The sequence below is a fragment of the Homo sapiens genome, chromosome 7 (assembly GCF_000001405.40).
Source record: "Homo sapiens chromosome 7, GRCh38.p14 Primary Assembly".
Classification (NCBI taxonomy): Eukaryota; Metazoa; Chordata; class Mammalia; order Primates; family Hominidae; genus Homo; species Homo sapiens.
Genome location: NC_000007.14, coordinates 39390558 through 39404572, shown reverse-complemented (window position 1 = coordinate 39404572; position 14015 = coordinate 39390558). Strand labels below are relative to the sequence as shown.

Sequence of the window (14015 nt, the reverse complement as noted above, 5' to 3'; positions counted from 1 at the left end):
TTAATGTTGACTATGGATTTGGTCCATGAATTTTGGGTGAACAATTTAAGTATCTACATACAGAATGCTCTCTGAAAAAGATAGACAATTATTTATATTTAATGAAAAGAAAATATTTTTTATTAATTGCAAGGCATTTCCCTAACATCTATGTTGATCAAAAATTCATATAGGAAATTATAGAATTATTCTCTGGATACCAAATAGCATAGATTGAGAATTTCCTACATTTAGGACACTAGTGTGTTGTTCAGATATAGTCCCATGCAGTTTGCTGCAAATTCAGGTATTGCATAAAGGATAAACAATTATTCTGAATACAAAACAAAGTCTCTACTTAAAAGTGGGCTTCTAAGCTTTTGTGTTTTGGGGTCAGAAATGGATATATTTCAACTGCTTTGGATGGCTGCCTTGGCAACCACAAATATATAGGTTTGGCTTATTTTTAATGTTTATTTCCTCTGTATTCTGGTCCTAGCTTAAAACCTAATTTGGTCCTCTTTTTGCTGCCTTTCCCTCTTAATGAAGCAAATGCCAACTCAGATGACTCTTTTACTTCCTACCGTCATTCCAGTAGGTCTTTGTGGAAGTTGTCTGGGTTCTGGGGAGATGCCCTGCTGTTCCTGTAGAACTAGAGCTAGAACCACAGTCACGGAGTGTGGTGTGCACAGACAGTGGGTGCAAGCCAATCTGTAAGCTGACGGCATTCCAGGAGGACCACTGGTGGTGTTGATGGATGTAACTTTATACATACATATCTTTTGGCTTCTCTGTCTGTGACTGCCAAGGCAGGGATGTAATATGCATTAAAATATGTGGGAGGGAAGTGAAGGGGTTGGTCAGGAAACCACACGTGTTCTTCTCATCACCTCGGGTCATGTCACTCTGTATTGTCCCCAGTCATATCATGTTAGCACTGCTCCTATCGATATTTCTTGATTGGAGACTCCGGGTAGATTTGGACAGCAGGGAACCCAGGAACAATAAATGCACATAATGAGCATGTTATTGTTCCGGGACCAACTGGATATTTTGAAGCTGCTGCCAAGTTTATGCCTTCAGATCTTTCACTGCCAATGTACCTAACCAGCAAAGGATGGCCCAAATGAAGTCTGACTGTAATACATGGTCTTGTTTTCAACAGACTAGCTTAAAAGACATGATGAATTCTGGTGTATGCTTGTTGATAAATGTGGAAGCTTTCTAAAGGAAGGATTTGCAGAGGGCTAGAGTTCTTATGTTGTATACAAATGGATTCTGGGCCTTGAATACATCAAGTTCTACTTCTGGAGTCTAAATCCCACTAAGAGAAGCATTGATATCTTAAGACAGTTTTCTCCTCCCTGGAATTTTAGAGAATACAACAACAGAATAATTTTTTGAAGTAGTTTTATGCCAGTGAGGAAGGGCTCCAAGCCTCACATTCCCCTGCTCACCCATTAATGCAGCTGAGGGCATCAGCTCTGAAAACAGACTGCCTTGGTTTGTGACTTTAAGTAAACCACACTTCATTTTCTTAGGGGTAAAATGGGTATGAAAAGAATATCACACACAGGGTTAGGATGAGAATTAAATGAGATAATGCACTCAAAAGTTTTAGATTAATACCTAGCATACATTATTTTCTTAATAAATGGTAGCTAATGTTCTGATGGTTTATACTGTGCATGAAGATTTTGAATTAATCAACTTGGAATTAGAACTCACCTCCATAAATATCTTTTTTCTTTGGAAATAATAGGAACATGGGTAACTATTCCCTATTTTTAGAGCAATTTTATTTTACTTTTTTTTCTTATAAAAAAAGATCAGCTTGAAGAATGTGTAAAAGTATTTTAGAGTAGAGAGCATAAGCAACAAGTATTTAAAACAGGGCTTCATCTGCTTGTCTTGGGCCTGTCCTATTTGATGGGATTAGCTCATCTGTAGAGAAAGTAGTGCCTAGAGTCTGAAGCCAGGGTCAGCAGGTGACAGCAAGAGAAGACATTACCTTATTTATAGTACGTTTTCCTCATCCTTAGTTTGCAACATTCGTTAGGTTTCCATAAGGGCACCCATTTTGGAGTCTAATTCCTGCCTCATGTCAAAATATTGTGAATGAGTCCATCTCACAGTTGCTGATTTGATAGTGAGGGAATGCAGGAAAAAGATTTGCAAAAAAAAAAAATTCCTTTAGGATTTACAGTGATTTATTTCTATGTCTACATATCAATATGGATATTTGGTGCTCATCTCATAATGAGAATAAATCCATATTTCCAAATCTATATACTTTGTGCATCTCCTTGCTGTCTGTGTACACTAAATGGTGATGAGAAAAAAAGCTTTGATAAAGTCTCCCTAGGGAGCACCCTTAGATGATGTCATATGGATGTCACCATACATAGTATCACATGATGGAAGAAAGTTTTTCTCTAAGTCATGTCCCATATTCTCTTTCTCTGAAAGATGCATAGTTTGTATCCTGAAAAGAATTCAGTTTCCTTAAATCTGAACATTAGTAGTCATAATATTTGTCATGCAAATGGGCTGATTATATGATTCTATTATTATAAATCTCATGTACAAAAATACGGCAGCATGATGAGGCAATTTAGCTATGGTATTATATTCCTATGTTTATGTCTTCATTCTAAGAGGGACTTATGAATGCAGCTGCCTCAAAACCTTTCTTTGGAGCATAATTGCCCATGATCTATAGTTCTATCATTCTCCTCATGAGCTATGTGGATTTTATAGAGTATGGATTTTGGAGCAGCTCTTTTTTGCTACTAACTTTTCAATTTAGAACCCTGGGACTACGGTGTCATTGTTTTCAAATGAGGATATTCATAAACGCATTCATCACTATTCACTCTTCATTTAAGGTTTGAAATGACTCGGCCGTGGATGCCTAGAAACAGCAGGGCAAATGCAGCTTTTGAGTTCATTTACATACATTAGGACCTTGACTTTTCCTATGTGTATGAAAAAGTGTCTCTTGGTTCCTTGGGATTCTTCTAACCAAATCAGTACTTCCACATCTTACCCTCAAGTCTTCTCTTAAAAAGTCAAGAAATTATCAGTAGACAAATACTGGAAGAGTGACCATATTTATCTCAACAACGTGGTTGATGTGTGTTTTATCCTACTAAATTTTCCCCCCGGGTCTCATCATTATTGTTGTGTTATAACAACACCCTCATAACAGTTAGAAAACCTGTTTTGTGAGTTCCAGTATTGAGCCAGGATTTGCTGCTCACTGTCTGCCCACCCTTCCCTGTAGTGGTGGCAATGTGTTAGATGCTGACCTTCCCACTCTCTGCCAACTGTCTCCATTGACCACTGCTGAGAGATTTTTGGGGCTGGGGTGCTTGAGATTGAGAGATGCCTCTGAGGCACTGCAACATCCTAAAATACCTTTTGAGACAGCCAGGTGGAAAGGAGTCCCCAGAGAAACACTAACCAGCCTGCGCACTGGGAAGAATGTGCACTGGGGTGGAGCCACAGAAATCCACGCTGTTTGCAGCAGGGAGGAGCCTGGCCCCTCCTCTTCCTGGGTGGAAGCTGGGATTCAATCAGGAAGTGCACCAGCAGGGACTCTGGCTTTGCAGAGAGTCCCTGTTTCCCTTTTTGCCCAATAAATCCTGTTTATCTCACCCTTCAAATTGTCTGTGGTCCTAATTTTTCATGGCTGTATGACAAGGACCTCATCTTTAGCTGAACTAAGGAGATAGTCCTACAACGCTTTGACTCACCAATGTAAAATCCCATGATTTTGGTATAGTTTCAGAATTAATTATATTTTATTTTCACTTAATGGTAAAATTGGAAGTATAGTAATTTTCTGTGAGTGTTCCAATATACAGCCATATTGGCTAACAGAGGAATTTTTAAGGTAACCTAAGGTTTTTGGTCAGCTTTCCCAGAAACAGAAAAGGGAAGGGAGGAAAACTGACCCAGCTCGAGGCTCTGGAGTGTTTGTAGGGTCTCAGCGTTGTCCCACCCTATGGGAAGGAAGCTGGGCTGTCATACCCTATACCTGACAGTCCTTGGTTAACAGCCCGTGGGGTGAAGATGAGGGTTGGCAATGCTCAGGCACTGCTGGCCCTTTGCTCTTGGGGTCAAATGGATCCTGGAGCCTGAGGGAGTCCTTGGAAGAAAGCCTTCAGATGCAGGTCATTGAAAGCCCAAGGTGTGGGGGCAACTCATGGAAAAAGAGGGATTCCAGGGGATCTGGGTGGAACATATCATTTTGTGACATAATAAGAAATATATATTTTGTCTTCATCCTTGGTTCCTGACACAGAACTCCTAAACCCTTGGAATTTCTGAGTAATAGGGGTAGGAAAAACATCTTTTGTTATTCTTAAGAAGCCCTCTTTCAACCACACCCAACTTTATGCTAATGAGGTGGCTCTAGGAGAATTCGACCTGGCTGGTAGAGTAGCCAAACCCTGTGACTATGGGGATAGAACTTGCAGCCCCACTCCCGAACGAAGGAGAGGGAAGAGAGGCTGGGGACTGAGCTAATCACCAGTGGCCAATGATTTCAGCAATCATGTCTTCATAATGGAACCCTATACAACAGATTTGGAGAGTTTCTCTTTGGTGAATGTATCCATGGGCTGGGAGGGTGGTACACCCCAAACTCCCTGGCGACAGAAGCTCCTGCACTCTGGACCCCTTGAGACCTTTCTTTTCTTTTTCTTTCTTTCTTTCTTTTTTTTTTTGTTACATTCTTGAGACAGGGTCTCCCTTTGTTGCCCAGGCTGGAGTCCTGTGGTCCAATCCTAATTCACTGTGGCCTCGAACTCTGGGGCTGAAGCCATCCTCCCACCTCAGCCTCCCAAGTATGTGGGACTATAGGTTCATGCCACCTCTCCTGCCTTTTTCTGATTTTGTAGCCATAGGGTCTTGCTGCATTGCCCAGTCTGGTCTCAAACTCCTGGGCTCCAGTGATCCTCCTGCCTCAGCCTTCCAAAGCACTGGGATTATACGTGTGAGCCACTGGGCCCAACCCAGACCTTGCTTTATGTGTCTCTTCATTTGATCACTCATTTGTATCCTTTATAATAAACTGATAATCATGTTTCCCTCTATTCTGTGACCCATTACAGCAAATTATTGTGCATGAGGAGGGAATGGTGGGAATCTCCAATTTGTAGCCAAGTCGGACAGAAGTGTGGGTAATCTGGGGACCCCCTACTTGCAACAGGCAGCTGAAGTGGGGGTCAGTCTTGTGGGACCGAGCATTTATTCAGTACCCACTATGTTTTGGGCATTGTGTGAGGGGATACAGTGCGAATGACAGACTGACATGTTCTCCACCCTCATAGGGAGTATAGCTAACAGGGAAAAAAATTTGGGTGGGAAGAGAAGGGAAGTAGGAAAAAATAAGCTGGCCAGGAAGCAGTATCCAGACCTGGAGGGGGCGGCAATCTGGGGTTAGGGGTCAGTGGGAGAAGGGGTGGTGGTTTAGAGAGATCTGGAAGAGGCAGCACAGAGTTGCTCAGAAATGTGTCTTGCAATTAATGCACCATTCTACCTTGAAAGTGGAAGCAGCACAGTGAAACGATTAAGAACTTGAAATATGGAACTAGATTGCCTCAGTTCAAATTCTGAGGCTGCCCGTAGTTAGCTGCACATCTCTGTGTCTGTTTCTTTAGTTGTAGTAAAATGGGATTATAATAGTTGTAATGACATTGTAGGGTTGTTGTGAAGAATATATGAGATAATATAGGCAAAATACTAGAAGAGCTCCTGCCATATAATAAGCCCCATATAAGTTTTGCTGTAATAATTGTATTCCTTCTAGGAACTTCTGGTCATATTGCTGTTTTAGGATTGAGTCCTCTCTCCTCCTCATTCCCTCTGGGATAGTCCGACTGGCCTTTTTGCAGATCCTCAACTACCTCAGCTGTTTGCTTTGCTGTTTCCACCAGTGGAACTCTTTTTCCCATTCTCCCAGATCACCTCCTTAGAGCCACCTTCCTTGACTACCTTATCTACATAGCATTCCCTTTCTTTTAGAGATTCATGCCAAAAGATTTATAAGCAAATGATATGATGTCTAGAATCTGGTGCAAAATAGTCCAAAGTGGGAGGGTGGGTGGGGATATGGAAGACAGGTCTTGATTTGATCATTGTAGGAACTGGATAGTGGATCTATATGGCTCATTAGACTTTTTTTTTTTTTTTTACTTTTATATATGCTCACAATTTTCCATCATAAAAGTTTTTAAGAAACCCTTCAATTCTCCATCTAGTCTTGTTTATTTCACAACTTATTAGAGTCTGATATTATATTATTCACTTACTTGTTTATCCTCTTTCTCCCGCTCTCTAAAAGTGCATTTTGGTTCACTGCTGTATCTTTGACTCTTTCAACAGTGCCAGGCATCCAGTAGGCCCTCAATAAATGTTTATCGAGTGAAGGAGTGAGTTGAAAATCTCTCTACCTGACTGAGAACATAGTGGGAGCTTCACTCTTTAATATTTACAGAAAAGAGTAGAAATTTTAGAGGCAAACTTGTCTGAATGTTTTTTTTTTAAAAATACGTGCTTCAACATGCTGAAACTCTAACTCTGCTAAAATACAAAAGAAATTAGCTGGGCATGGTGGCACATGCCTGTAATCCCAGCTACTTGGGAGGCTGAGGCAGGAGAATTGCTTGAACCCGGGAGGCGGAGGTTGCAGTGAGCCGAGATCGCACCACTGCACTCCAGCCTGGTGACAGAGTAAGACTCCGTCTCTACTATATATATATATATATATACACAAAATATATAAAATACATATTATATATATGCTTTACAGGCTACTTGCAGTGGCTCACGCTTGTGGATCAGGCGGGTGGATCACCTGAGGTCAGGAGTTCAAGACCAGCCTGGGCAACATGGTAAAACCCCGTTTCTACTAAAAATACAAAATTTAGCTGGGTGTGGTGGCGTGTGCCTGTAATCCTAGCTACTCGGGAGCCTGAGGCAGGAGAATTACTTGAGCCCGGGAGGCGAAGGTTGCAGTAAGTCCAGATTGCGCCATTGTACTCCAGCCTGGTGACAAAGCGAGACTCTGTCTCCAAAATGTGTATATATATATATATATATATATGTCTCTCTCTATGTCTATATATATGTCTATATTTTATATATAAATACATATACATTTGTCTCTATATTTTTGTCTATATATATATTTGTCTATATATATTTGTCTCTCTATATATTTGTCTATATATGTCTATATATTTTATATATATATATATAATATATATACTTTACAATCTCTCACACCACATTGGACCAACTGGCCAGAGCCTCACACATCTGGTGACTCAGTCCTGAGAGCTCCTGTGTAACGCCTGTGCTCCAATCTGTCATGTGAGTTAGCACCAACAAATGCAGCCCTCCTCTTAGTTGCACAGGCAGAGTCCTGAAAGGTCAAAATTGGCACCGAGCAGTCTTTCATACTAGTTGGGAATATTCCAGGACATAAAAACTCAGCAGCCAAAGGTGAAGACCTAGCTCTTCTCTGGACATTTTGGACCAAGAAATTGCATCCCAGATGTCCCTAGAAATTCTTTGCCTGGAATTGGGTGGGGCTGGGCTGGGCTGAGGGCTTAATCTCTTGGTTTGAGGTTATTTGGGAGCTGAAGGATAAAGTGGCAGTGAACAAGTCTTTTTTTTTTTTTTAATGATTGGTTATGGTGGTGGAGACAGAGTCCGGCTATGGAGGCTACATCTCCCCACCCCTGCCTCATGAACTAGGCCAAAGCCCCACAGACAGCAGCATGGGCCTAAGCTGAAGAGGCTGCCTTCCCCAGATAAGGATGGATTCTATGTGCCCCTAGGCACAAGTGCTGCTGCTTTGAGGCCAGGCGCTGGAGAGTAACATCAGTTAAGGAGGTGGGATTTCTGGGGGTTATCAGGCCACTTGGGCACTGAGATGGTCTGTGGCTCCTGGAGGTCATTGGATGCAGAGTGAAAAGTGAGGCTCTACTCAGATGGCTTCACGAAGCCTGGACTTCATTGCAGGTGGACAGAGGGGACTCTCCATGAGCACTTGTGGACACGCTGAAGAGTTATTCTAGAAGTATGCTGGAGAGAGAGCTATATCCTACATGGGGCCCAGGTCCAAGTTGTGCAGAGTTATCAATGAGCTCTGCACCTAGGGAGCTTGGGAGCACTTGAGGGAGGGGAAGGAAATAAATGAGTCTGGCTGACACACAATGATCTGGTGGCAAACTCTTAGAAAGCTCTCCAAATGGATGCATTTCTTTTTATTTTTAAATTTACTGACAAAATAGTCAAGCCCAGAGTTGAAGGGAAAAACTAGCTTTTAACTTAACCCAATACATTGATTTGATTTTGAAGTAGAGAGGTCAGCATTATGGAGACACACCAACTCTAAATCAGATTTTATCCAAGTTATATGTAGACAAATACTGTATTACTACAAGCCTACACATCTCATTTCCTTTTCTGTCTAGTCTTCCATTTAATAACCTGAAAAATCTATGTTTTTATTGAGTTTCATGCTATTTTCTTACTTACATACAATAGTGCTACTCTTACCAATTGCCTATTGTCATGGCACATTAGTTAGGTGAATTTGTTGATATTTCAAAATTACTCTTTCTGGTTTTGTTTTTTTATATTCTATCATCCAGTTTAAACAAGTGATTGGGGGCACTCTTGTGATGAAAGTTTTTTTGGAAATAAATTTTGCCACAGTATAGCAGTGGGTGTTACTCTAGTTTCTAGCTACAGAAAAGCACAATACACTCTTTACCCACCTGTGCCTAATTTACTTTAGTTCCCAATACTTGCTGAGTTCTTACAAGGGACAATAGGTGCTATTGAGTGCAGAAAAAAGACCAGGAAGGATGAGGGGCTCCAAGAAAGCTGAGACACAGGTTCTTTCTGGAGCTTCAACACAGTGTTGTTTATCAGATATTTTCTAATAAACCAGGGTGCAGGCTCTGTGCCAGCCCCCAGGGACACAGAGATGGACAAGACAAGAGCCTCATGCCTTGAGGCACTGCCCATATAGTCTACCCTACGTAGCCAATGCTTTAAGAGAAGGGCAGAGGGAGTCCAGACAAGGGATCCTCATCAGGCTGTGGGGAGTGTGGGAGATTTCTTGGGGAGGACAGCTTTGGAACTGAGTCGTAAAGGATGGCTCAGAGTTGATTGTGAGGGCAGTGAGAAGGTGAGAGGAACAGGCTTCTCACCCACTGGGAATAGCATCATCAAAGGTGTGGTGTTGAGAAATAGGATTTTGTGTATAGAGAGCTGCTAGTTTGGCACTTCTGATATTTTGGGGAACATGAAGTAGAAGGAGGAAAGCAGCAGATTATGGGGTAAGGCACGTGCTTGTAGAGGGAGGACCTTGTATATTATTTTATGGACTTGTCCTCTTTGTTCATAGGCAATGATGGAGGGACATGATCAGATGTGAACTTTAGAATAATCACCTTGGAGACTGAGTTGGACTGGGTGGAGATGGGTCAGACTGGAGGCAGATGAGAACAGGAGGTAGCTGGGAGCAATAGGGCAATCAGAGGGAGGGAGTGCAGCTGGGGGTAACTGCACACAGAAGCACGGTATGGTTCACCACTCATTCATTCATCAAACACAGCATCGACTGTGTGTCAGGTATGGTGGTGTGGTCTCTCCCTGCAAGCTTCTAGAGTATCGGAGAGACAGATAAGTAGACAGACAAGAGCCAATGGGTACAAGCCAGTGTAGGGGTATGCTAAGTGAGCCGTGGACATACTGGGGAACTGGTTAGCTCAGTGGGGGAAAGAGGAGGGGTGTCATGGATGCTTCACAAAAGAACTGATAGCAGCTCAATCCTGGATAAATCACAGACCAATTGAGCAGATGGGAAAGACACACAGTTGGAATAGAAAAAAGAATAATTATGGGATTGTGGGATGTCAGAAAGCTGGCTATGCTCTGAATGTCCACAGCACACCTAAGACAGGAGATGGAGCTCAGGAACCTTCTGAAATGGGCTTTGAAGGCAGAGAAAGAAGGTGGGAGAAGGAAAATAGGAAGCCCATGTATGAGTGGTGTGCTTGAGTTCATATGGCAGAGTGCCCACAGAGCGTTTCCCCTGCAGGCTGTTGTTATGAAAACACCTCAATGTTCACATCCTCATGCAACATTAAAGAGCTAGCTTTAACAGCTTTGCAGCCCAGGAAACAATAACAATTGGTAGTCATCAAGTTATAAAATAATTTCATTTATTTTATATAAAGGGAACGCTAAACTGCTGACTGACCAAAAATTAATAATTGAACTTTGAATAATAAAACCAAAGGCATCATCTTTAAAAATACAGAATGTTCTCTATTACAAAAAACTACATAGACAGATGATGAAGAACCCCCATGGCTGGGTGCACGTGTTAAGACTGAGCTGTGATTTTATAAAGGATAATGTTAAAAATTAATTAGAAGGGCTGTACTAGTTTATTATGAGATCTCAGATTCCTGAGAGTCTGCCCAGCATAGCTGGAAGTCTTTTATTTATTTGGGGACTAAGTACTGGAGCATTCTGATGTATTTTACTCCAGAATATTGTGTCTTTTCTACAGATTCTATTTGTACCACTGAAACCCAAGAAACTTTTCTTAAGTCCAGCTAATTCAATTAATTACTTATAAGGAACAAAGCATATGCCTCCTCTTCCTTCCATCCCAATAACCACATTGGTTATTAAAATATGCTTGTAACAAATGTTATGCATAATATCTTTGTTTTATCAGTCCATGGGCAAATGGAGAGCCTTGTTAAGCTGTTACTGAATTTTATTATTATGTATAATGGCTTGCTTGCCTCATAAAATGTATCCACTGAACAGCTGTTGTAGAAGGAAGCTAGCCAGAGATATGCTAGCCATCCCACAAAAAATACTACATTTGGGCCATACGATATATATTTTTAGGGGACCAGTAGAAATGAAGCCATTTGTTGTTGGTCTGCCGCTGAACCTTAGAACATCTACCCTCTTGAATTCACAATAAGGGTCAGATATATCATTTTAACTATAGGGAGAAGAAAATGCCATTTCTGGTCATGTCACACCCATCTTAAGTGGGTGTCTGTAAGCAGCCCTGGGTTCACATCCATGAAGGTTTCTTCATTGTAAAGAGCCCAGGGGGTCCTTTTGGCAGATGATTCGAAAAGCAGCTGAACATTCCAGGAGTATCTGCCACACCCGTGCCAGAGGTGCTGCAGCATTAAGTGCCCAAAAGAGAACTATGTCGTTAGGAAAAACAAATGGTCTAAATTATTAGAGAAAATACGACTGTGTAGAAGTGGGAAGATAAGTACATGAAACGGAAAGCAGAAAACATGACTAGAATGCTCAGAGGGAAATAAAATCCTTCTCTGCTCACAAAATATATTGGTTATAGTTTGTTCTAAACACATTAAGCTAACAGTAAGAACCACTACCTGTAGAAGCCGTAAGCCAAGAAAATATAAAAAGTTTTTGTATTGTTGTATAGATTGTTTGGGAAGTTTCCATTAATAAAACCGAACATAGGTTTAAAAACATAAAGCTTAATCTCACCAAGAGCAAAAGCAAGGCTGTGTGGGAATTTTCTACATTTAGGAAGAAGAGAGCAGGGAATCACTGATGGAAGAAACCCATCTCCCCAATCAGCAAAGAGAAAAATATTTTAAAAAATGCTTTGGCAATCCTGTGACTATTGAGAAATGTTTGGCTGTGCACTTATGAGCAGAAACTAGGTAACTGGTAGTGCAGGAGAGAATGTAAAATTGCTCAAAGTCTGGGCACCTGGGCTGTCTTCCTGCATCAGCAGCTCCCTGGTCATGCCGTCCTGCCTCGCCTGAGCCTCCATGTTCCTGTCCGTAAATTGAGAAGGTTGAACTACATCCGTGGTTCTCAAAATGTAGTCCCAGACAGCAAAGAAGCCACAGCAGTTTTAGGGATGTGTGTTACAGAGTTACCCTTCCCTGACGAAAACCTCTGATACACACTGAGGTCCACCCATCAATCATCCCTTGTGTTGCTCCAAGGATGGGAGAAAGCCAGATTTGCTCCCTCCTTCCAGAGTTCTGTGGGGTGTTGGGTCTAAGGCTAGTTCCAAGAACGCTCAGCTTCTCTGAAGCAGACCTGGAAGAAAGGGCTTTCTCCCACAGTGGCACTGAGTGTGGTCCTGGAATGAATCACATCAGCTTCACCTGTGAACTGTTAAAAATGCAAATTCTCAGCATCTACCCTAGACCTGCTGACTCAGAAACTCTGGGGGCTGGAGCAGCAATCTGGGTTTTAATAACTCTTTAGGTGATGCTAATTCATGCTAAAGTCTGAGAAGCCCTGAATCAGATAATTTTTTAAGGTTCTTCAAATGATAAAAGTCTACGATATGCTAAAATGGAATAAAATTTGGAACAGTGCTATATTTTTTGAGTCCTGCTCCTAGAGGGATTACTAAATAAATGTATTAACTAAATAGAATTTTCTAAGTCTGTTTCAGCAAGTAGGAACATATGGCTAAAAATAAATATTTAGTGAGTCAAGGCTTTAGCAAGTTTCTAAAACAACTGGGCTGTTCATTGACTTCTAGGTTGGCTTCCAGCAGCCCACAGGCAGCAACAAGAGGCACGTGAACACCTCTGGGCTGGGAATGGGACTAGTGGCCTTTCCAACATGATCAGAGCTATCACAATGTTCTATCCTAGGGAAAACAATGGAACTTTAAATCTATAATAGATTTTAAATAACAACTAGTTACCTAATGTTAAAAGATAAGTAACTGCAAGTCGACCAGACAAAGGCTTTCAAGGTTATAGCAAAGACTTAGAACTGGCATAGCAGTTTTGCCTGTGTACTGAAGGACAGTACTGCAGAAGGGAGGAAGAGAAAGGGTTGGTTGTCGCTTTGCAAGAGAGGGTTGCCATCTCTGTTGACAGAGACACAGCTGCTGGGGATTTTCATCAGGATAACTTTGGTATGAAACTTGGGAATAATTTAGGTTTTGAGGGGATATATTCTTGTGCCTGGATGGTAGAAAGTTTTACTCATACTTTGATTTTTTTCAGAATAACATGTACACTACTGAGTTCTTATTTTGTACATTATATTTTCAAAAATGAGAGCACATCTTATTATTCATTATGCCTCTATACTTCTCAATTGCCATACTTAAAGGAAAAATAAAGCAAATGGCTCAGTGTAAAAAAAAGGAGGAAAAGAAAATAAGCAAGTTTAGGAGGTGATCATATAATTATTATATAGGAAATATTAAAATAAAATATTGAAATAGAAAATGAAGTAAAAACCACAACATATAAACATGTTTACTTTTCTAAGATTTTGGCTTTAAGAACTTGGACAAATTGACCAAGATAGTCATCAGAGGTTTCAAGAAAAAAAGCCATCAAGTAACAAGAAGAAAATGTGATTTTTCAAGAATTTACCAAAATAAAATGGAAGTTCATAATGTTTTAAGAATAATGTATTTTTTAGCTAGTGGCTATACATGTTAGCAAGCAATGATATTTTGGTAGAATACTTGACAATTACAGCAATCCTCAAGGTGTGTTTTGTGGGACCCTAGTCCCAGGGTTTGCTCGGAATGAAAGGTTTGGGAATGAAACAGGTTTGGGGAACACTGCATGAAGCATCTACCTCTTGGTGATTTATAATGCATGTCAGGACACTGATGGTTCTGAAAGTTGTCCACAGGTAAAAAAAAAAACCAAAAAACAAAAAACAAGAAAACCCTGTTCAGCTTGTTTAACTCTGCGTTGCCCAACATTATTTGATGATAGTACCCACTTCTCATGTAACGCCACTAACATCCCTTAGAACTTATATTCTATGTTATACACTCTGGGAAAAGCTGGGTCATGTATTACTTTGTTATCCGCCGATTTAACGAATGCACTAATGGAAGAAATTTGTAATCCACCTTGGCTTTTCTCATCAACTACAGCTAAAGGAAGGACTCTATCTTCCAAACCTAGATGCTTCTCAAACCATCTAGGTCTGGA

The 14015-nt window shown here is 41.0% G+C and overlaps 1 protein-coding gene across 5 annotated transcripts in view, besides 1 other annotated feature; it reads right to left on the bottom strand.

Annotated features, from left to right (window-relative positions):
• Positions 1-14015, bottom strand: part of POU6F2 (POU class 6 homeobox 2) — a 490693-nt gene that overhangs the window by 64029 nt on the left and 412649 nt on the right. The gene's annotated exons all lie outside the window — the stretch shown is intronic.
• Positions 3499-3999: an enhancer, noted in NCBI's record as "H3K4me1 hESC enhancer chr7:39440173-39440673 (GRCh37/hg19 assembly coordinates)". NCBI's record gives its function as "activates a minimal SCP1, AML or CMV promoter by ChIP-STARR-seq in naive H9 embryonic stem cells {active_cell/tissue: H9 hESC(naive)}" and the evidence as "EXISTENCE:reporter gene assay evidence [ECO:0000049][PMID:30033119]".